Source organism: Homo sapiens, chromosome Y (genome assembly GCF_000001405.40).
Source record: "Homo sapiens chromosome Y, GRCh38.p14 Primary Assembly".
Lineage (NCBI taxonomy): Eukaryota > Metazoa > Chordata > Mammalia > Primates > Hominidae > Homo > Homo sapiens.
The window spans coordinates 21,509,480-21,532,678 of NC_000024.10; the positions used below are offsets into that span (position 1 = coordinate 21,509,480).

General features: G+C 41.2%; 1 protein-coding gene across 4 annotated transcripts; it reads left to right on the plus strand.

The window, feature by feature from the left end:
• Positions 1-1,858: 1,858 nt before the first annotated feature.
• RBMY1B (RNA binding motif protein Y-linked family 1 member B) lies at positions 1,859-17,737 on the plus strand. 4 transcript variants are annotated; one of them, XM_017030056.2, is made up of 12 exons: positions 1,859-2,006; positions 3,868-3,980; positions 4,455-4,558; positions 7,578-7,755; positions 9,671-9,823; positions 11,834-11,948; positions 12,904-13,014; positions 13,456-13,566; positions 14,001-14,111; positions 15,033-15,143; positions 15,231-15,319; positions 16,567-17,737. In XM_017030056.2, exons 2-12 carry the CDS (start codon positions 3,872-3,874, stop codon positions 16,572-16,574), a joined length of 1,200 nt encoding a protein of 399 aa, XP_016885545.1. In that variant the 5' UTR covers positions 1,859-2,006; positions 3,868-3,871; the 3' UTR covers positions 16,575-17,737. The 4 variants fall into 4 exon arrangements, with proteins under 4 accessions (XP_016885545.1, NP_001006121.1, NP_001307877.1 ...); NM_001006121.4 differs by lacking the exon at positions 16,567-17,737 and adding an exon at positions 15,731-16,307; NM_001320948.2 differs by lacking the exons at positions 15,033-15,143; positions 16,567-17,737 and adding an exon at positions 15,731-16,307.

A 23,199-nucleotide genomic window follows, 5' to 3' on the forward strand; every position in this document is an offset into this window, starting at 1 on the left:
AACCGCTGTGGGTAGAAGTAGCTACGGGGCTGTGCCTGGCTCTCCCCGTGGAGCTCGAGTGGTTTCAAGGGAGCTTATATATACTCAGGGCCTAAACATCTTTGGGTGCAGCGCTGGCAGAGGGAAGAAATTGTGTCTGGGGAGATAGTGCCTGCCTTGCATAGGACAGCAGCCCCGTGCACAGTGACACCGAGTCTTGAGCACCTTGTGTTTCTGGGGTAAGCTTGCTGGACACAGGCAAGGGGAGCAGGGAAGTTCCGTGGCTGGCATGGGCATGCAGACTCCCCTTCCTCCAGGGACTTTCCCGGTGAATCGTATCCTTCAACTTTCTGCTGTTATGATGGGTCCTTGGCGCTGCTATTCTCCCTGGTGAGTGCTGTGCTTGGCTTCCTGTCCCTACCACATGCCCTCAGGGCACATGCAATTAAGCTGCCCTCCTATCCGCATGAGCCTGTTCTCAGTTCCCCTTGTTGTCCCCCATGCCCTGAATCCTGGCTGACCGCCAGTGCCTACCACCTTGTTTCCCCCCACCTCCGCTCCCGGGAGCTCCGCGCCCATCCCCTGCTGCCAACCATCCCGAATTGGCAGCTGCAAGGATATGGCTCTGGCCCAGAAGCCGGGGATGCCCTGTGGCCTGGGACATTCACGTAGCCGAGCTCCAAGTGAAGGACGTCCAGCGAGTCTGTTGCTGGCCGGGGCGTACTGGGGCCAGGGCCAGGCTGTGCCTGCAGGTCCTCCTGCTGTGGCTCCACATTGGCCTTCCTCCTTGGCCACCACCTCCATCTCTGCAATGATGTCATCCCCCACTAGCATGCCTCTCCCCCCAGGGTTGTCTTCCTGCTCTGTGCACAGACCATCCTCTCCTGCACAGCCTCCAGCCTTAACATGGTGCCCTCCTTGAGGCTCCAACAGAGCAAAGCCTGTGCCTCCCACCCCACCCCCCCGGCACCCGTCAACTCTGGGGGCAACTCCAGGAGAGGCCTGCGGGCCTTGCCCTGCTGAGAACCACATCCTACACCTATGTGGAACAGGGTTCCTGGGGGGCCCCACAGGGCCCTTAGCCTGTCACACTCACACTGGGGCTCAGATACCCAGCAGGGTTAGCTGCGCACGGCAGCCCTGGAGTCGGATGCCAAGGCCCTGGCTTCCAGAGCCCCGCTAGCAGGCACACGGCCACCACTGCACTTGTGAGAGCCTCTGCACCAGCAAAGCAGTGCACACGGATCACTGCATTGGCGACCATGGCGGTAGGCCTCCCGTGTGCCCAGGGCACAGGATGAGAAGTCCTTTGGAATGCCCCTGTGAGTACAGCATCCTCAGGGAGGAACCATGGAACTCGGAGTATGTATTTGCCTAGACCTGACAGAATCCTTGCAGGGTTTCAGCTTCTGGTGCAGATGAATTCCACCTCAGCAACGTACCAGTCGACTTTAGTCCCACGCACCCGCCCTGCCCCAATCCCCCCAAGCCACCGCTGCTGCCCTCGCCCCAGCAGCAGCGCTGGTCCCTCTCTCTCCCCTCTGGATCCGCAATATTCAGTACCATCAGCCTAGCCTGCCTAATGAAGTGAGATGTTTCATGTGTTCCCTGTGGGTTAGTTAATGTCTTGCCACACTCAGGATGCCAGTTAGGGTGTAGGTCTTCCATGCCCACAATTGCAAAGGGCTCACAGTTCGCGTGTGCCTTAATCCACCGCGGCCCGCCACGTGGCACAAGCGTGGTCTCGGAAGAGTTACCGCGAGATGATGGAGCCGCAGGCCTGCTGGGGCGGAGCGGCCTCAGGACACGCCCACAGCCTTTGCAGTAACTGGCTGACGCCCACCGCCTTCGCAATGATTGGCCGCTGGAGGTAGGCGGGATTTCCGGGCACGGCTTCCGGCGTCCTTCCCTCTCAGGGAAGCTCCAGCTGTCCCTCCCGCAGTTGGCCCTGTGGTGTTCCGAAGCCGGTTACGTACGGCCTGAGGGCCAGGCGAACCTCAGGCTCTTTGTCCTACTAAAAAGCGCAGGTATTTTCTGTTTCTCTGGACAGCTGGGTCTCTCGGCAAGAATAGAAAGCGAAGGTTTGGGATTTTGTCTATAAAAGGGGATGGGTTTTCTATGTGTGGGTGTTGAATTACGGGAGGAGTCAGTGGGGAAAGAACTCCTCAGTGCTATTAAGAGACTCACTTTCGTTAAACTCATTGATTTTTCCTGAGGATTCTACCTTTAACTGCCTAATGTGTCCGACTAGTTGTGGGAGATGGTGCTAAGCCGCCATTGGTTTTCATGTGCACTTTTTATTAAAGCGGGTTTTCTCTGTGAATGTGGTGATAATTCAGAATACAGGCAATACACTTAACCACTGCGATTAAAAAGTCACACTTTTGGTTAGCACATGTCGCGTGTCTGATTTGCTTGGAAGAATTATCAAATTTTGACATAAATTGTGTTACTTTAGTGTATGTAGAAATATGGGGCCACAAATAATGTGAGTTTCAGTTTGCCTCTGTAAAGCCTGTGATCGTCTCCTTCGTTGTATGGCAGTATTTGAAACGTTTCATGTGTCTTTGGCACCGTAAATAATTTAAACCGAATAAGTGGGTGTAATCGAGACAAATGGAGTTAGATAGCCGAAAACTGGAACAAAATAGATGCGCTTAAGTTATTCTGTTAACCTGGCACACTGCCTTACTCCTGTAGTCCTAGCATTTTGGGAAGTGGAGGTCGGAGGATGGCTTGAAGTCAGGAGTTTGAGACCAGCCTGGGTAACGTACTGGACTCTTTCATTGCTATTTTCGCATCAGGGACTGGTTTAGTGGAAGTCAGTTTTTCCTCAGAGAAAGGTTGCGCAGGGGAAGAAGGCGGCGAGGTGGACAGGTTTGGGAGTGGGGGCTGGCGGCAGGTCTCCGAGGGGCACGTGGTGGGGCGGGTCTTCCGGTAGGAGCAATGTGACAGAGGCCAGGTGGGGCAGTGAGGCTGTCACGGGGACAGGGAGGGCCAGCGAGGGAGTAGGGAGGATGGTTTCCGGATAAAACTGTACCACCTCAGGTCATCCTCAGGCGTTACATTCTCCACAGACAGGTATTGCAGGTCATCCTCCGGCATCACATTCAGGCCACAGATAGGTACGGGTTGAAGGCTAGGGTTTGGGGATCTTTGACCTATTGTATATTTCAAATCACTAAAAGATGGTAAAATATTTAAAATATTCTCCTCCTAGAACATTTTAAGTAGCTTGATTTAATCTCTTATCCAAATATCATGCTGAGTGTGGTGAGTCACCCTTGAAATCCCATCACTTTGGTAGTCCCAAGCCGGCAGAACACTTGAGCCGAAGATTTGGAGACTAGCTTGGGCACTATGGGGAAACCCTTGTCTATTTTTAAAAATACAAAAAATTGCCCAGCTGTGGTAGAAAGCGCCTGTAGTACTAGCTACTTGGGAAGCTGAGATGTAGGAAGATCAGTTGAGGCTGGGTGGAAGAGCCTGCAGTGAGCAGTTCACTTTGGCGACAGGAGACAGACATCTCAAGAAAGAAAATATGCAAAACATCACACTGTACCTCATAAATAGATTCTTTTCAAATAAAATTATTTAAATGGGGACATTCTTCATATTGCAACTGAGGAAAATTACAATAGCTTTTCTTATCTAATTTTTAGAAATGAGATTTTTGTCAGGTACATACTAAAATGCAGCATTTGTCCATGAAGTTAGTGCCCCTTTGCTCTGAGTGTTACAAATTTTACATATATAAAGTAAGAAATACTAAAAAGATGTCAGCCTCAGGAAGGGAATTTTACTTGGGTTTTCAGCACAGTATGTAATAAAATTTTATCTTTTTAGCTTATTTATATCTAAATATAGATAATTTTTTACCATTTACAGCACAATGGTAGAAGCAGATCATCCTGGCAAGCTTTTCATTGGTGGCCTCAATAGAGAAACCAATGAGAAGATGCTTAAAGCAGTATTTGGGAAACATGGTCCCATATCAGAAGGTAACTCTTAAAACCGTGTGTGTGTGTGTGTGTGTGTGTGTGTGTGTGTGTGTGTGTGTGTATTTTCACATGTATATTTCAATAGGTATGTTTAAAATATGTATGTTATATATATATGTTTTGAAAAAATATATTTTTTCAAAGTTCATTGTATACCTACATTAAAATGCCTTATGCATTTTAAACTCTTATTTTGTAGTATCTGTTTGATATTTGGAAAATTCTCATAGTAGTAGGTTAAGGTTCTATGGAAAGGATAACCTACTACTTAGAAAGGAAAATGAGGGAAAGTAAATGTGCTGTGGAGTTCCGAAACAAACTGGAATAAACTAGACTGACTGTAGGGGTGACTGAGTATCGAGAACCATAATAGTGATGTGAAATGCAATTATTTTTTAGTTTGATGTAACCTTTAGATGGTGAGTACCTTGATGAGTCCATTATATGAATGTAAAATGTTTTCATATATTTTAGTTCTTTTGATAAAGGATCGAACCAGCAAATCCAGAGGCTTTGCATTTATTACTTTTGAGAACCCTGCAGATGCTAAGAATGCTGCCAAAGATATGAATGGAAAGGTAAGAGTCCCTTATTACTAATATTCTAACTCTGTTCTTCAATTAACAATATTTCTAGGTCTTTTTAATATTGCTAAACTTTTGAGGATAGTAGAATGACACATGAAGCCATCCTCTTTTTTGTGCCATATACGTGCAAGTGTAGTTGGAAGGGTATTGGAATTAACATTACATAAATTAATATTTGGTAACCTTTTTCTATGTTTGTATTTCGATATGAGTGCAAATAGATTTTAAAAGGTTTTGAAGAGCTTTAAAACTTATAAGGAACCCTCATGTAAATGAAAGTAATAAGTCAATATTTATTAAATGCTATTAATTGAAGTACATCCAATTCATGGAAATACTTTTAGAGCGTAGACAAACTGGATAGACATCTAGACAGACGCACAAGAAGGAAAGACTCTTTCCTTCTTGAAGAATATATTTTATGAAAATATATTCTTGCGAAAGTGTATTTAAATAAGACCTTTACATTTACGGAAAGGTTAAGTAGTTGAAAATAGAAAATAATATGAGAACATTGAAGTCAGATAACAGAAGAAGTAACTGGCATTCTTGGCTCCATGCTTGCTTTTTCTCCTAAGGACATTTCTTTCCTGTCACCAGAGTGATTTATGTAACATGAATAGCTAATTACTCATTTCCCCAGTGTGTTTGAGGACTTGTTTTGATTGAACCAATGGTCTCTTGTCCTGTTGAGTCTTAAATCTAGAGATTGTGTGTTTACTTAAGCTTTAAACTTCTATGTAATGATATTAATTATTGAATTCCTTTACATTGTAGTCAAGAGCATTCCATTCTGTGCTCTTTAGTGTTTTTTGCTTTATAACATTATCCCAATCATGCCGGGCATGGTGGCTCATGCGTGTAATCCCAGCGCTTTGGGTGGCCAAGGCGGGCAGATCACAAGGTCAGGAGAAAGAAACCATAATGGCCAACATGGTGAAACCCTGTCGCTACTAAAATACAAAAAAAAAAATTAGCTGCATCTGGTTGTGTGTGCCTGTAGTTCCAGCTAGTCAGTAGGCTGAGGCAGGGGAATCGGTTAAACCCAAGGAGGCAGAGGTTGCAGTGAGCCGAGATCACGCCGATGCACTCCAGCCTGGCAACAGAGCAAGAATCCGTCTCAAAAAAACAAAAAATAAATAAAATAAATAAATAACGTTATCCCAATCTGTTTTTAGGTCCTGTTAGTCTTCACGCTATTCCCAAAGTGCTTTTTTAGACTTCTTGAGAATTATCCTTCCCTGTGTATGGCTCATAAATAAAATTTATGCTTCAAAAACCACTTAGATTTCATAATTTTCTTCCTCATTGCGTATTGTAGGTATTTTCTACTCGCTGTACTATGTATTAATCTATTGATCGTGAAATTGTATATAGTGCATATTTAAGTCTTGCTAGTTGCTTTTCTTTCTGTTACATCTAGCACACTTCCTGTCACATAGCAGAAAGTACATTTTTATTCACCCTTATAAATTAGTATTTCAAGCTGTGGTAGAAACCGAGAGTTGCTTTTGGTTCATGGCTTTGTGGTAGGTATGGAGATAATTTTGACTTCTGTATAGGAAGCTATGATAATTTCTTTTTTCCCTCTAGTTTTCAAGCAAAAGGGCAGGTAATTTGTGTAAAGTTTTTGTTCGTTTGTTTGTTTTTTAAGATGGAGACTCGCTGTGTGCCCTAGGCTGGATTGCAGTGGGGCCATCTTGGCTCACTGCAACCTCCGCCTCCCGGGTTCAAGCGATTCTCCTGCCTCAGCCTCCCAGTACCAGGGGCTACAGAGGCGCGCCACCACGCCCAGCTAATTTTGTACTTTGAGTAGGGATGGGGTTTCACCCTGTTAGCCAGGGTGAGCTCTATCTCTTCACCTCATGATCCACCCGCCTTGGCCTCCCAAAGTATTGGGATTACCGGTGTGAGCCACCGCGCCCAGCCAACGTTATTTCTAAATTACTTCATCTCACGTATTTTATTGTGTTAAAATAACTATGAATGTTGTATGCACATTAATGTTAAGATGGCCAATAAAGGAGGTTCTTTGAGTTTTCAGGGGGAATTAACAGTTAAGGAATTTTGGCTGACTTCAGAACACTGGGAAGGAAGCAGCCGTGGGCAAATCTGGGGAAAATATTTTGAGCCCAGAAATAACAAAAGAAGTTTCAAGGTAGGAACAACGGGCGATGTGGCTGCAAGCGGTCTTGTTCAGGGATTTAAGTCCTTCCTCCAAATAACAAAAGCCATGTAATTTTTAAATCGCATTATTAGCTGAACTGTTTTCAAAAATTGCTGTGGCCTGTAGAAAAGATTACAGTGAAAAATGTTATTATGAAATTAATTAGGATAGTTAAGCATTTCTGAGAAATTACCTGAAGTACTATATTAAGATTCGTTTTTTAGGGGCACGTCTAAGGCAATGTAAGAAATGAGTAAGGCAAGAAAACTTAATGAGATCAAACAAGGATCACATTTACAGAAACATTTTTAGAGTCAATATAGAATTGTAAATCATATGGGGACATTTTATGGAAGTGTTAGCAAATCCAACAAGAAACAACTCATAATGAGTAATGTGCCTAATCACTCTGAAAAAGTAAGCTCATTTTTTTTTTAAATGACACGAGTTTCATTGGGACACTGCAACTTTCAAATCAGTGATGTGACTACAAAGATGAAGTGGATTATATATTGTAAAAAACAGATGTGCCACATTCTTCCACAGAATGTGTGATGGGTCAAACTTTTTTTTTATGTTTGAGTTTTTTTTTTTTTTAATGATGGAAAAGTTTTCAAGGAATTTGAATAATAGAATTTGTGTTTGATCCCTTAATGGAAGGCATGTGCTCAGTAACTATCTCAAATTTGGCATTGCGAAAGATGTGTTCATTTTAGAAGAAAAAAAAGTTTCCTTTTGGGAGAAAAATACCTCAAATTGAACTACAGTTGATGTAAAAATGTTTGTAAAATGTGCTTACGTTAAATGTGCCGGTGTTATTGATAGTACCCTTAATACTTCTAGTCTTTGCATGGAAAAGCAATAAAAGTAGAACAAGCCAAGAAACCATCTTTTCAAAGTGGTGGTAGGCGGAGACCACCAGCTTCTTCGAGAAACAGAAGCCCTTCAGGAAGTCTGAGATCTGCAAGAGGAAGCCGTGGAGGAACAAGAGGGTGGCTTCCCTCACAAGAAGGGCACCTGGGTAATGTTTTAAAATATAAAGATGGAACCATAGGACTGAAAGAAAATAAGTTTGACGATATTGAAATTTCTTAATTTTTTTCTTTCCTGTATGAAGAGAAAATTAGCTTATTGATAATAAGCAAACTTATTTCTAAGTACTATAAAGGTGTATTATAAGAATGATTGAACTAATATCTAAAATTTGTTTAACAATTATAATAAGTTTGCACTGAAGTAACACACATTTGAAACTGAGTTGTGTTTGTGAATGCTGATTGCCTGTACTCAACCGGTTTTCTGCAGAACTCATTTATATTCATTATACTTTAGAGTTTTCTACTTTAGGGCCCAGAACTTCGTGTCAGTTGTATTATCAAAGTACGATGTAATATTTAAAATTTTCCAACAGGAAGAAGTAACTGAATACTGAAGATTGATTTTGCAGTATTTGTTTTCTTGTGTCTACATGTGGAAACATCTATGCAAATGTATTGCTTTGTAATTTTGATACAGAGAGTTTGTACATTGGCCTGCCGTAAAGCATTTTCAATTTAAGAAATGTAGAACTTTAATTTCTGAAAAGAGTCTGTGACTCTGGAAAGATCTAAAAACCACTGCTTCACAGATATGTATGAATCTTTCTTTGCTGGAGGCTGAGTCACTGAAAATGATATTTATGAGTGATTTACTTAATAGAAATGAGGGGTCCATCTTTACATATAAAAGAAAAACAAACCATATATTTAAAAAAAAGGAAAAAGAAAAAACTATTGGATGGGCTGTGCGAGGTGGCTCACGCCTGTCACCTCAGCACCTGGGGAGTACAGGGGAGGTGGACCACGAGGTCAGGAGTTCCAGACCAGCCTGGCCAACATGGTGAAACCCTGTCTCTCCTAAAGATACAAAAAAATTTGCCTGGGCCTGGTGGCGTGCACCTGTAATCCCAGCTACTCAGGAGGCTGAGGCAGGAGAATCACAGGAACCTGGGAGGCAAAAGCTGCAGTGAGCCAAGGTTATGCCATGGCACTCCAGCCTGCGTGATAGGGCAAGAGTGCATCTGAATAAATAAATAAATAAACCTGTTGGTTAACTTGTATTATCTATTAACCAACCTTCAGAACTCTAACAAATAGCTTGGAGTTTTAATAACCAGACATGTAATTAATTGGAGATTGTTTTCAAGTTGAAATTGCAGTGTTTGCTCCATTTTAAGATGCGTAGCTTCACGGCTGTTTTGCCTCCACTGATCTTGAGGGTGAGCTTCAATTATACTCTGCCACGGACGAGAATGTGTACATAAATTCTAACCTGTAACACCACCTGGCAATTGGCATATATCTACGTTTTTGTAGATGTATAAAAATATGTTTATATTACCGAATATGCAATTCTTAAAGACTGTTAAAATTCAGCATAGTCTCATCTGAAAATTAGTGTCTCATAAGGGAATTTTAAGAATTCTATATTGTGTTAACAAATTTTAGAGACAATGTATTTTCCTGATATGTGATTTCTTGGTATTGGAAATATTTGAGTTTCTTTGAATGGAAATTAGTTTATCTTTATGATGTGCTTTGAAAATTTTTCCTCATTACAGAATGATATAAACAGTCATTTATCATTTTTCTTTTAATATTTTTATGTATATTATATTTGGATATTTTAGTGATAGATTTCTGCCCCCGTTCACTCCCCATTTTCCCACATCTCTCCTTCATACCGATATATTATGATACTTGAGTTTCTTTCTAGATTTTCTAAATGAACTTTTAATGCTTGAAGTGTACTAATACCTTGTAGGAATGCTAATTTTATTAGTTTAGACAAAATGTGAATTTGTTATAAAATGTAGAAAATATTTGTAAACAACTAAAACTTAGCCATTTAAGAAACAGTGACGTCAGTTAACTAAAAAGATTTTGTTTGAAATACAGATGATGGTGGATACACTCCTGATCTCAAGATGAGTTATTCTAGGGGACTCATTCCAGTTAAAAGAGGTCCATCTTCAAGAAGTGGAGGTCCTCCTCCGAAAAAATCTGCTCCTTCTGCTGTGGCAAGAAGCAATAGTTGGATGGGAAGCCAAGGTAAATGCTGCCTGACAGAAAGACCGTAGTTTTTGTATGACTAAAAATGAGCCGTTTTACCTGAATGCTTAGCTTTAAGTTCATTGAACAAAAGAGAAGTGACACATACGTGAGCATAATTACTGATTGATAGCTTTTATTATAGTTTCTATCTCACTAGGTACATTTCAGATTTATGTTGAAGAAATACTTGAGCTTCTCATTGCAGATCAAAGAAGTGATTAGAGTGAGGCCAACATTCCTTTTAATCCTGTGTTGGCTAGAAAATTCCCCTTAATTTTTCTAAAAGTTCCTAGCAGTATTCTTTGATGGTAGGCTTCTTGATCTAATTAACTCTTCCATTTCCTAAGTCCCCTGGTGTCCCATTCTAAAAATTGCTTGTTCGGTGACTTTGCTGGGTTGGAGTCTTGCTCTTACTAGGTGAGAGTGCACTATGTGAGACGACGGCTTACTGTAGCCTCAAATTTGTGAGATGACGGCTTACTATAGCCTCAAATTCCTGGGCTCAAGCAATTCTGCTGTTTCAGCCTCCCGAGTTTGTGCAACTACAGGCATGCAGCAGCACACCTAGCTACATTTTTTTCCCTATGTTTTTGTAGAGAGAGGATCTGACTACATTGTCAAAACTGATGTTAAAGCCTGGGGCTCAAGCGGTCCAGCTGCCTCAGCCTTCCACACTCACTCACAGTGTGAGCCGCTAAGCCTGGCCATCCAGCTTCTGAGACCTCAGTAATGCGTATGTGCAAGGCATACTCACTGCTTGCATGAAGATTCAAAAGAACTACAAGAGCATTTAGCAGACAAGGAGTCATTGGGCTTAAATATGATTTAAAAATAAATTTAAGGCTCGAGAGGTAGACACGTAGGAGTCCAAAATTCTTAAATTAAGTGGATATCACAGAAATGCAGAGTTGTGAAATATAGGTGTATGTAAATCAGTAATTGAGATTGTACCGGGATGTTTAAACATTAACACAAGATCCTTAGTGTAAGATTTGAAATTATTTGAGGAGAGAATTTAGAACTCAGCAACATGAGGTGAGCGGTAGGGTTGAATGCAAGTAATACTTTTGAGAAGAATTGTAAGACTGCAGACTGAACAGAAGAAAATAAGACAATAAATAAAAGTTCTTAGCAAGGAAGTTTAAGCAGAGCAAATTAAAATTCTTTCTTAGTCCTCCATCCGCATACGGAGGAAGTTAAAAACTGCCATTTTCAATTTTACATTTCATACGTAGAGTATCGGTGAAGGGAGGTATTTATTGGCTTCAGGATACCCAAGCCAACACATTTCCATTGGAAAATTAGCCAGTGAAGGTATCATATGTGAAACACTGACCGCTAAGGAATAGCAAGTGAAGAATATATTAGAGGAGAAACTTTCTATTTTGAAACAGCAACAATGTTGTAATGACCCCTTGCATAGCATTGCTTTCTTTGCAGTAAAAGCAAATCTTGACCATCATTAGAAAATCTTCACTAATACATTTTAATTTGTCAACATTTAAGATAGAGCCAACCAGTTAAAGAACTTTTATGTAAACATTTAGCATATAGTCATTTAAAGGTAGCTGTATTTATGTGTCTGTGAGATGGACTGAATGATATTGGAAAATCTACCTTCTTTGGCTGAGAAAGAACAATGTATGTAAACTTTAAAATCAGTGAAGAGTTTGATGGTTTTACGTGTTTTCCCTGTGTCACTCACAGTCATCAGTAATTTATATGGAAAGGAAAATAATAACTAAGTAGTTATTAACCATTACAAATGAACTTTTACCTAAGCATTAATGTTTGCCTTCAGCTTCATTAGAAGAACTGGCCTTGTGGGAGCCATGGGATTATCCAAAGCCATGAGAAATATTCACAGTGTCATGTCTGTCTAGTAATTTAGGAAACAAAGAATGGAGTCATAGAAGAAATAATTTTAAAAAGTTGTTTGAGAGAAGAGAAAATAGCGTTTCAGATTTGGTGTTCTTTACGTAATGTTCCATCATTTGAATGTTAAAGGTCCCATGTCACAAAGAAGAGAGAATTATGGAGTTCCTCCACGCAGAGCGACAATATCTTCCTGGAGAAATGATCGCATGTCAACAAGACATGATGGTTATGCAACTAACGATGGGTAAAGGAAAAATTAAAAAGCACAGTTGATTTTTTTTTCCTGTGGTGATGAAATTCACATAACAAAATTAAATATTATAAGGTGAACAGTTAGGTGGTGTTTGATACATTCTGTGCCATGCAACAACTACCTCCATCGAGTTCCAGAACATTTTCATCACTCCAAATTGAAACTCCTACTACCAGTTAAGCAGTCCCTCCCATTTTCTCCTTTTCCTCAGCTGCTAGATAACACCAGTCAGTGTTCTGCCTCTGAACTTACCTGTTGTGGGTATTTAATGTTAATGTGCTCAAACACTACATGACTTTTTGTATTTGTCTCCTCTCCTTTTGCATGATGTCCTGAAGGTTCATTTACATCATAGCACTTCACTCCTTCCACAAGCTATTAACCCATTATTTTATCTGCGTTGTTTCCACCCGAGTATTTCTACGCACCAATATTTGTTTGAGTGTGCTTACTCGGTTCTGGGTGTATATGAGTGGAATTGCATGGTCCTATGATAATGATGTTTGTTTTCTTGAGGAACCACCACATTTCTCCATAGTAGCTGCATCATTTTCCGTTCCAACCTAGCATTGTATCAGCAATCCAATTTATCTACATCCTCTCAAACACTTGTTATTTCCTGCTGTTTGAAATTTATTGCCATTCAAATGTGTGTTTGAAATATGATATCCCATTTTCGATTTGAAATGCATTTTCTGCACCCATTAACTCATCATGCACATGTATCCTAGAACTTAAAGTATAATGAAACAAAAAGAAATGCATTTTCTGAATCGCTGAATATGAGTATCAGTCCCGTGTGCTTTTTGGGCATTTGCCGATTTTATTTGGAGAAATATCTGTTTAGATGTTTGGCCTTTTAATTTTGTTTAAGTTGTAAGTTAGTCATGTATTGGATACTAGAAGTTGAAAATTTAAAATTTGTTGCTTAAACTTATGCACACAGAAATCATCCAAGTTGCCAAGAAACGAGGGATTATGCTCCACCATCTAGAGGCTATGCATACCGTGATAATGGTCATTCTAATCGGGATGAACATTCCTCTAGAGGATATAGGTACTGTAACTTTTTCTGAATTTGTCAAATAGATTTCTTAAATTGCTCATTCCAACTAACGTTCTATCAGGGCTCCAATTTATCTACATCCTCTCAAACACTTGTTATTTCCTGCTTTTGAAAATTTATTGCCCTTCCAGTGTGTGCGTATGAAATATGATATCTCATTTTGGATTTGAAATGCATTTTCTGCACCCATTAACTCATCATGCACATGGACCCTAGAACTTAAAGTATAATTAAAAAAAAAAGAAATGCGTCTTCTGAATCACTGAATATGAGTATGTGTCCCATGTGCATCTTGGGCATTTGCCCATTTTATTTGGAGAAATATCCATTGAGATGTTTGGCCTTTTAATTTTGTTTAAGTTGTAAGTTAGTCATGTATCGGATACTAGAAGTTGAAAATTTAAAATTTGTTGCTTAAACTTATGCATACAGAAATCATCGAAGTTCCCGAGAAACTAGGGATTATGCTCCACCATCTAGAGGCCATGCATACCGTGATTATGGTCATTCTCGTCGGGATGAAAGTTATTCTAGAGGATACAGGTACTGTAACTTTTTGTGGATTTGTCAAATAGATTTCTTAAATTGTTCATTCCAACTAACATTGTATCAGGGCTCCAATTTATCTGCATCCTCTCCAACACTTGTTATTTCCTGCTTTTGAAAATTTATTGCCATTCATCTGTGTGTGAAATATGATATCTCATTTTGGATTTGAAATGCATTTTCTGCACCCATTAACTCGTCATGCACATGGACCCTAGAACTTAAAGTATAATAAAAAAAAGAAATGCATTTTCTGAATCACTGAATATGAGTATCTGTCCCATGTGCTTTTTGGGCGTTTGCCCATTTTATTTGGAGAAATATCTATTTAGATGTTTGGCCTTTTAATTTTGTTTAAGTTGTAAGTTAGTCATATATCGGATACTACAAGTTGAAAATTTAAAATTTGTTGCTTAAACTTATGCATACAGAAATCGTCGAAGTTCCCGAGAAACTAGGGAGTATGCTCCACCATCTAGAGGCCATGGATACCGTGATTATGGTCATTCTCGTCGACATGAAAGTTATTCTAGAGGATATAGGTACTGTAATTTTTCTGGATTTGTCAAATAGATTTCTTAAATTGTTCATTCCAACTAACATTGTATCAGGGCTCCAATTTATCTACATCCTCTCAAACACTTGTTATTTCCTGCTTTTGAAAATCTATTGCCATTCATCTGTGTGTGTGAAATATGATATCTCATTTTGGATTTGAAATGCATTTTCTGCACCCATTAACTCATCATGCACATGTATGCTAGAACTTAAAGTATAATAAAACAAAAAGAAATGCATTTTCTGAATCACTGAATATGAGTATCTGTCACTTGTCCTTTTTGGGCATTTGCCTATTTTATTTGGAGAAATACCTATTTAGATGTTTGGCCTTTTAATTTAAAGTTGTAAGTTAGTCATGTATTCGATACTAGAAGATGAAAATTTAAAACTTGTTGCTTAAACTTATGCACACACAAATCATCCAAGTTCCCGAGAAACTAGGGATTATGCTCCACCATCTAGAGGCTAGGCATACTGAGACTATGGTCATTCTAGGCAGGATGAACATTCCTCTAGAGGATATAGATACTGTAACTTTTTCTGGATTTATCAAATAGATTTCTTAAATTGTTCATTCCAACTAACATTGTATCAGGGCTCCAATTTATCTACATCCTCTCAAACACTTGTTATTTCCTGCTTTTGAAAATTTTTTGCCCTTCCAGTGTGTGTGTGTGAAGTGTGGAAGCTCCTTTTTTATTTGAAATGCATTTCCTGAATCACTGATTATGAGTATCTGTTTCATGTGCTTTTTGGGCATTTGGGCATTTTGGGCATTTGGGCTCTGTGGGCATTTTATTTAGATGTTTGGCAATTTAATTGTGTTTAAGTTGTAATGTAGTTATGTTTTGGATACTAGAAGGTGACAATTTAAAATTCCTTGCTTCAACTCGTGCACGCAGAAATCATCCAAGTTCCCGAGAAACCAGGGATTATGCTCCACCACATAGAGACTATGCATACCGTGATTATGGTCATTCTAGTTGGGATGAACATTCCTCTAGAGGATATAGGTACTAACATGTTATCTGGATTTATCAAATGGATTTCTTAAATTGTTCATTCTGAAATTGAAAAGACTTTTTTTTTTTTCAATTTAGTTATCATGATGGCTACGGTGAGGCCCTTGGTAGAGATCATTCTGAACATCTAAGTGGAAGTTCTTATAGAGATGCACTTCAGAGATACGGTAAGGGTCCAGGATGGATTTGTAAATTACAGAATTTTATTTAATAGACCAGATTGTTATTTTAATGAAATTCTAAGGAAAATTGTAAAGGCCATATGCAACATGTTTAAATATTGAGTATTCTTAACAGTATAAAGCCTAGGGAATGATATGAAGGTGAGAACTTCAGTTAACGTTAAGAAAATGTGACTGAGCATTTACTTTAGAATTAAGTTTGTTAAGCTGCAAAATACTACTCTTACACTTCTCTTAAATAAAACCTTCTGACTATTAAAGCCTTGATTAATATCCTGTCAACAAAGGCGGAGGAAAGCAGATATTTCCAAATAGTACTTTAACTAATTCATGCTTTAATGATAGCAGTAAAAATGTTTAAATGTAGTCCCACATATTATTTTACCAACCCTGCAGGGACCTCTCATGGTGCACCACCTGCAAGAGGGCCTCGGATGTCTTATGGTGGAAGCACCTGCCACGCATATAGTAATACACGAGATAGATATGGCAGAAGTTGGGAGAGTTACTCGAGCTGTGGTGATTTTCATTATTGTGATCGTGAGCATGTTTGCAGAAAAGACCAAAGGAATCCGCCTTCTCTGGGTAGGGTGCTCCCTGATCCTCGTGAAGCATATGGTAGCTCAAGTTATGTGGCATCTATAGTAGATGGTGGGGAGAGTCGATCTGAAAAAGGAGACTCGAGCAGATATTAAAGCAAGCATTGAAAGTAATAGTTATTGCATACCAATCCTTGTTTGCAAATCAAAAATTGAAATGTTATTTCTGCATTGTTACCTGCATATTACTGAAAGAAACATGTTGGTTTTGTGGAGAGAGGTAGATACTAACTTCCTCCATGAATTTTTTGAGGTATTCAAAGGAAAAGGAATTGTTTTCAAAGTAATTTCATACTTGTTGATGCTATTTGAAAAGTGTTTAGATGTAATATCTACCTTAAAATTTTCACAATAAAATTTGACATGTACTGCAAGATGCCTGGTGTTATTGGTTAGCCGCGCATGCTTAAAGCAAATTCAATAGGAGAGTAAATTGTGTAGTCTGTTGTACATTTTCCTTTGTTTCTTTGAACATAGGTACAAAATTAGGGATGTGTTATGTCGCCCTTGCAAGCTGCTCAAGTTTTGTAATTAGGCTGTTTCTCTTTAAAAACTAACAAGGTTAAAATGTTGGAGAAGTCTTCAGAAAGACTACAAAACTGTCTGCCTCACCATAAAACGTTTATTTTTTAGAGGAATAGTACAGGTCAAAGGAAATCATTAGATGTATTGATACTAAAGTTTAAGACATCCGGAACATTCTATGTGAAGCATTCTGTGACTGAAGAGGATAACGGTAATGAAAACTTTTTTTTTCACCTAAATCAGAAGTGAACCAGCTAAGTTTCTCAGGTGCGTAGCATAATGAATTTAAATGTTCGTAGTTTAAATAGTGGAAAGTAAGTGTTTTGTCTTGTGAGGTTCCCACGTTAATTTTTTCTTGAATATTTTGACAGTGGATGTTGTAAGTAATGGTTTAGTAATATGTTCTTACAGATAGGAATAATCTAGAGTGGTTGGGATAGTATCAGTTTTTTTTTGAGATGAAGTGTATAGCTTTGTCGCCGAAGCTGGGGTGCAGTGGCTCTGTCTTGGCTTATGGCAACCGCTGCCTTCTGGATCCAAGCTATTCTCCTGCCTCAGCATCCTGAGTAACTGGTATTAGATATGTGTGCCGCACAGCGGGGCCAATTTTTGTATTTTTAGTGCAGACAGCGTTTCACCTTGTTTGCCAGGCTGTTCTTAAAATCCTGATCCACCCTCCTCAGACTCCCGAAGTGCTAAGATTATAGGCGTGTGCCACCACTGTCAGCCTATCGTATTTAATTGATAATATGAATGGAAACGCTTTAAACCTCATACTTAGGGGAAAGTGAAGTGTATAAAACATAAACAACAGCATAAAGTTTCCGACGGGATTGCTTAAAGTTTTAAGACATCACTGAATGATACAAATATTTAGACCGAAATAACTAAATGAATTAATTTTCCTGATTATACAAACTAAAGAAATGAAATACATCAAGTTCCAGAAGTTTTGCAGTCCATAATTCTTACAATTGACAGACTAATCTGCAAGGAGGAAGTATTTTCTTGAAAAATTTTGACAGAATCATCAATTTTTACAGGGTAAGGGTACAAATAATTTTAAAGGGAGAAGTTACCAACTTTGATTTTCAAGTGAGTTATTCATGTTATGGAGTGTTTTCATTCACCTGTAGCATTGTGAGGATGAAGTGAAAAGATAAATCTCCCGAGTCTTGTGTATCTTACTGTCCATGTGTGATGGCTCAGGTCTCTAATTCTAACACTTGGGGAGGCCGAGGCTTGCAGAGCACTTTAGGACAGGAGTTGAAGACCAGGCTGGCCAACACCATGAAACCCCATCTCTACCAAAAATACAAAAATTAGCCGGGCATGGTGGTGCCTGCCTGTAGTACGTTGCAGTTAATTGGGAGGCTCAGGCAGGACAGTGGTTTGAACCTGGGAGCCTGATGCTGCGGTGAGCCGATATTGCACCATGCACTCTAGCCTGGGTGACAGAGTGCGACTCCAACACAAAAATAATTATATCAATCAACAAATATATACATAATAAATAGGGTATCCTTCAGTTCAAGCACTTACCGATTCTTTTTTCTTTTTTAGAGACAAGGTCTCACACTGTTGTCCAGCCTAGACTGCAGTGGCACCATCATAGCTCACTGCAGCCTTGAACACGGGCTTGAAATGTGCAAGCCTTCCATTTCAGCCTCCCAAGTAGCTGGAATTACAGACACACACCAACCACCGTGCCCAGCTTTTGTGTTTGTGTGTGTGTGGTAGGGACAATGCTTTGGATATATTGTTCAGGCTGGTCTCAAACTCCCAGACCGAAATAATCCTCCTTCCCTGGCTTCCCAAAGTGTTGTGATTATAGCCGTGAGCCACTGAGTCTGGCATATCTTTTCTCATTATGAGCGACATTCCACCTCACTGAGTCTGGCGTATCTTTTCTTGGTATCAGCGACATTCCACCTTCGCTCTATTAATTATTTTGAGATGTACAATAAATCATTATTAAGTGTAGTCATCCTGTGCCACTGAACACTAGATATTATTCCTTCTAAGCAAGTATAATTTAACCCACCCCCATCCCCTCTTTGATCCCTCGCTTACCAGTTCACATTACTTGTATCAAAATATCACATGTATGCCAAAAGTATCTACAACTGTTAGGTACAAATTTTCATTCCCTTCCTCCTTCCCTCCCTTCCTTTCTTCCTTCCTGTCTTTCTTTCTTTTTGTCTCTGTATCTTTTTCTCTCACTGATTTTTTTTTTTTTAAGAAAGAATCCTGCCCTGTCACCTAGGCTGGAGTGCAGTGGCGTGATCTCAGCTCACTGCTCCCTCCTTATCACGGGTTCAAGCAATTGTCCAGTCACACCCTCCTAAGCAGCTGCGACTGCAATCATATGACACCAATCCTGGCAAATATTTTGTATTTTCAGTAGAGACCAGGTTTCACAATATTTGCTCAGGCTGGTCTTGAGTTCCTTTCCTTTAGTGATCCACCCACATCAGCCTCTCAAAATGCTGGGATCCAGGCATGAGCCACACTGCCCACCCAGTTGTATGCATTTCTCTCTCCCGTGATCTCTCCTATTTTATTATTTTATTCTCTTTTTATTTCTGAGACAGCGTCTCGCTCTGGTGCCCAGGCTGGAGCACAGTGGTGTGATCTCACTTTACTGCAAACTCCATCACCAGGGTTCAACGGATTCTCCTGCATCAGCCTTCCAAGTAGCTGGGATAACATCCACGGGCCACCAAGCTTGGCTAGCTTTGGTATGATACTAGACGTGGCATCTTGTCATGTCTAATTTCGTATCTGTTTTAAAGCTCGATTGATAAGCAATATTGACTTCCTGGAATGTTTTATGTTTACAAAACAATTATAGTACTACTATTTAGCCTCCTCAGATAAAATATGGTAACACACAAAACATACACACACAGACAAAGACACAGTCAGTGATCAAAAAAAATCAGTGTAGGCCACGACCTAAATGAAAGGTGAGCTGCTGCAGTTGCCTAGAATTAAAGCAGACCAGAGTTGACCCATACCAGGCTGAGAGATGTGAACAGAGGCTTTCCAACAACTCTATCAGATACATGTTAGATTATTCTCCAGCCATAGCGAAGGGACATTAAAGATCTGTTGTGCTTAGAAGAGTCTCGATGATTTGACTTTTCCAGGGTATTAGCATTCATGATGTTGGCCTTTACAGCTCTCTGCAATGAAGTCAGTAGACGACACAGTTTTTCTAGGAGTCTAAAGTGCTTTTCAGAATTATCTAAAACTTAGTGGCTTAAAACCATAATTATAATTTACTAACTGTCAGTCTCTGCAATCGCCCTCAGTCTCTCAGCCAAATGAATGTGGTTCAGGGGCGCTCAGGAGGATGCAATCTAGTGATGGCCAAAGATGGGGACATTGGCGGGTGTCTTCTCATCTCCCTGGTGCCATGGCTAGCGTGACTCAAATAGCAGGGGCTGGACTGCTGAGATGCTCAGACATCTTGTTCTGTTTCTTTGAGTCTCTCCATTGGATGTCCCTTCTGCATAGTGTTATCAGGGTGTTAGACTGCGTGATGTACTGGTCGGGGGCTCCTAAGGGGTTTGTCCCCATGAGAGCAGGAGACCTAGGCAGAGCCGTGTCACCGTCTCTAAACTAGGCCAGAGGTGGTCCAGTATCCAGAAACTGCTTGCAGTGTTTTCTATACATTAGAAGCAAGTACTGTGTTCAGTTCCATCAGGAATATTTTCAAATGGGTTTGAGAAGAATTTCAAAGTGTGTTTCAGACCACTACAGTGGCCATGCCTAATAATTCCTTATTTTTACAAGTGCTGGATGGGTTTTTCCCAAAATAATGCTTTCTTGGGGGGTGTGGGGTGGTGGAGACAAAGCTTTGGTCTTGTGACCCAGGCTGTAGTGCAGTGGCGTGATCTTGGCTCACTGCAACCACCGCCTCTTGGGTTCAACCGATTCTCCTGCCTCAGCCTCCCAAATAGCTAGGATTACAGGAACCTGCCACCATGCCCAGCTAATTTTCGAATATTTAGTAGAGGTGGGGTTTCACCATGTTGACCCCGCTGGTCTTGAACTTCTGACGTCTGGTAATCCACCAGCCTTGGCCTCCGAAAGTGTGGGGATTGCAGGCGTGAAACACCCCGTCCGGCCTTCAAATTATATTTTCATACCCACTCACTTCCACAATTTTTTGGACCTATCTGCGTGTTCTCCTCGGAGGCGGGGGGACGGAAACAGTATCAGCGTTCTTGAAAAATTTATGAAAGAGAGAATGACAATACTATACTAGGTTTAACCTATTCACAATACTGTATTTACTGAATAAAAACATTGCGTTTAAAATTCTACTATTGACTAAATAAATAAAATACACTCTTCCATTCACTCTAAAATGTGTGTACATGAAGAGTATACAAGAAGGGTTCTAATACAGAAACAAATAAATGAGGCTGGGCATGGTGGCTCACGCTGTAAGCCTGGCAGTTTGGCAGGCAAAAGTGGGTGGATCAGTTGAGGTGAGGAGTCGGAGACCAGCCTGGCAAATATGGTGAAACCCAGTCTTGACTAAAAATACAAAAATTAGCTGCACATGGTGGCATGCACCAGTAATCCCAACTCCTCAGAAGGCCGAGGCAGGGGAATTGCTTGAAGCTGGGAGGCGGAGGTTGAGGTTGAGCCGAGATCCTGCCACTTCACTCCAGCCTGGGTGACAGAGCAGTACTCCTCAAAACACACACAGACACCCCAAAACAACTAAAAAATGAAAATAAAAATTTTGTACTCACAGTTCAACTCGCATATCTAACGGAAAACAGAAAGTACATTAAAACAAAGTTTCCACAAAAGGCAAATAAAACAAATGAATCACCTTGCACATAAAATTAAAATAATAAACTGAAGAGAACTATACGGAAAAAAATTCAAAATTTACAAGTAAGTACTCTACAAGAAGCTGAAAGTCACTCAAAACTTTTCTGGATTCCATGTCTCTACAGTGCAAACATGATCATAAAATTTGCTGGGGGCAGAACCATCAAAATGTATCTTACAACTCAATAAACACTTCAAGTCTCACATAAGAATTGTAATGGAAAAGGGACGCGTCTGCAGTATTTCTACACAAATCTGAACAAACACTATTTCTTTGTACACATTGTTTCACTGTTCCAAGAAAATAACTTCCATATTAATATTAGGGGATGTGACAAAGCAGGTCTTCATCATGATAAGTAACACTGGGTGTCCACACCACTACTCAGGTGGGCCTTAATTCCCAGCCAGGTTCCCTCCCTGGACACACAATGAAGGGCTCATCCATTTTGCAATCTCTTCACATTTCCTCCCCTGTGAGCCCAGTGTGGTTCTCCAGATTCCCTGTGTAGCGGCCTCTCTTGTCTGGTGGGGCAGGGTGGGGCAGGGAAGTGTGGGTGATGATGGCAGAGGGCAGAAAGCATCTCAGGGAAGCCTGGGATCATTGTAACAAAAAATGATGGGCGTGGGACAGCCCATCAGGGAAGACATAGAGAGGGGCCTTGGGAGGATATCTGCGTGGAGGGTGAGAGGGCCCTGGTTGAGCCCAAACTGAGCCCCAAGTGGTAGCCGGCCTCAGGCCTCAGCCGGTGAGGGATGATGAGACAGCTACCACTTGAGCCTTGCTTCTCACCCACTGACCTTAGACACTTACTCCTCTTAGGCGGCTGAAGGTGCCCCAATCCTAAAATGTGGGTGTTACAGTTCTTTGATGGCCATTTCTCCGCCAGCCCATGGATGGCGTGGGATTGCTCACTGCAGTCACCTCCCTGAGGCTTGGTTTCTCCATGTGGGGCACAACTCCAGGAATCAACCGCCTCTCAGTCCCCAGCCCCAGACTGCTCACCTGGCCTCCTCTCTGTTCACTCTCTAATGGCCTCCCTCCCTGGAGAAGTACTGCAGGGGATTGAGCTACAGGCTCTGGCTGATGATCTAGGGGACTGCAGAAGTGGGTACAGGTTAGTTCAGGTCATGGCTCAAAGCCAGTTCCCCAGAGGCCAAGGAATGACCAGCAAGATCCTTTCCCATGATGCCCTACCTGGCGCTCACCTCAGCAATCCTGCCAGAACCTGGGCAGTCATGGTCAGCCAACCAGCTGAAGAAGGTCAGGTAGGAGCTGTACGGCCTGCAGCTGGAGGCTTGACCTTCATGATCCCACAACCACTAGACTGCAGTGGAATGAGACATCCCGTATCCTGCAGAGAGAGGAGTCAGGAAGGTTCATGCCAGACCTACCCTCCCACACACCAGCTCCCCTACCATGCTGGGAGGCGCTCCTTACCGAGGATGCCAAGGCAGTACTCCTGAATGATCACTTCATTGTGGAAGTAGAGACTGTGATAAAAGGAAAACTTCATCCTGCTGCCGGTACCCGGAAGAGTTGCTTTCCTCCCCTTACCTGGCCAAGAAGGAGAAAGAGGACGTACTCAAAGGAGCATTTCATGTAGCTGGGGTGAGGTGACCTGTTAGCTGGGGTGAAGCATGTGTTTCTCCTTCCCAACTCTCTCATTGAGACACCCCCGGGTCCCAGGGGTACCTCAACCTGACCCAGACACCAGACCCCTCCCGAAGACTCAGGCTCCTTAGCCCGACCTGCAAATCCATCACGTACGTAGCTTAGCAGGACTTCATCATCATTTGTGATCCCGGCCAACATCTCGGTGTGCCGCACAATCTGCCTCTGGTCAAGGAGCCGCCGGATGATTGGGTGGGCGTGCAAGGAAA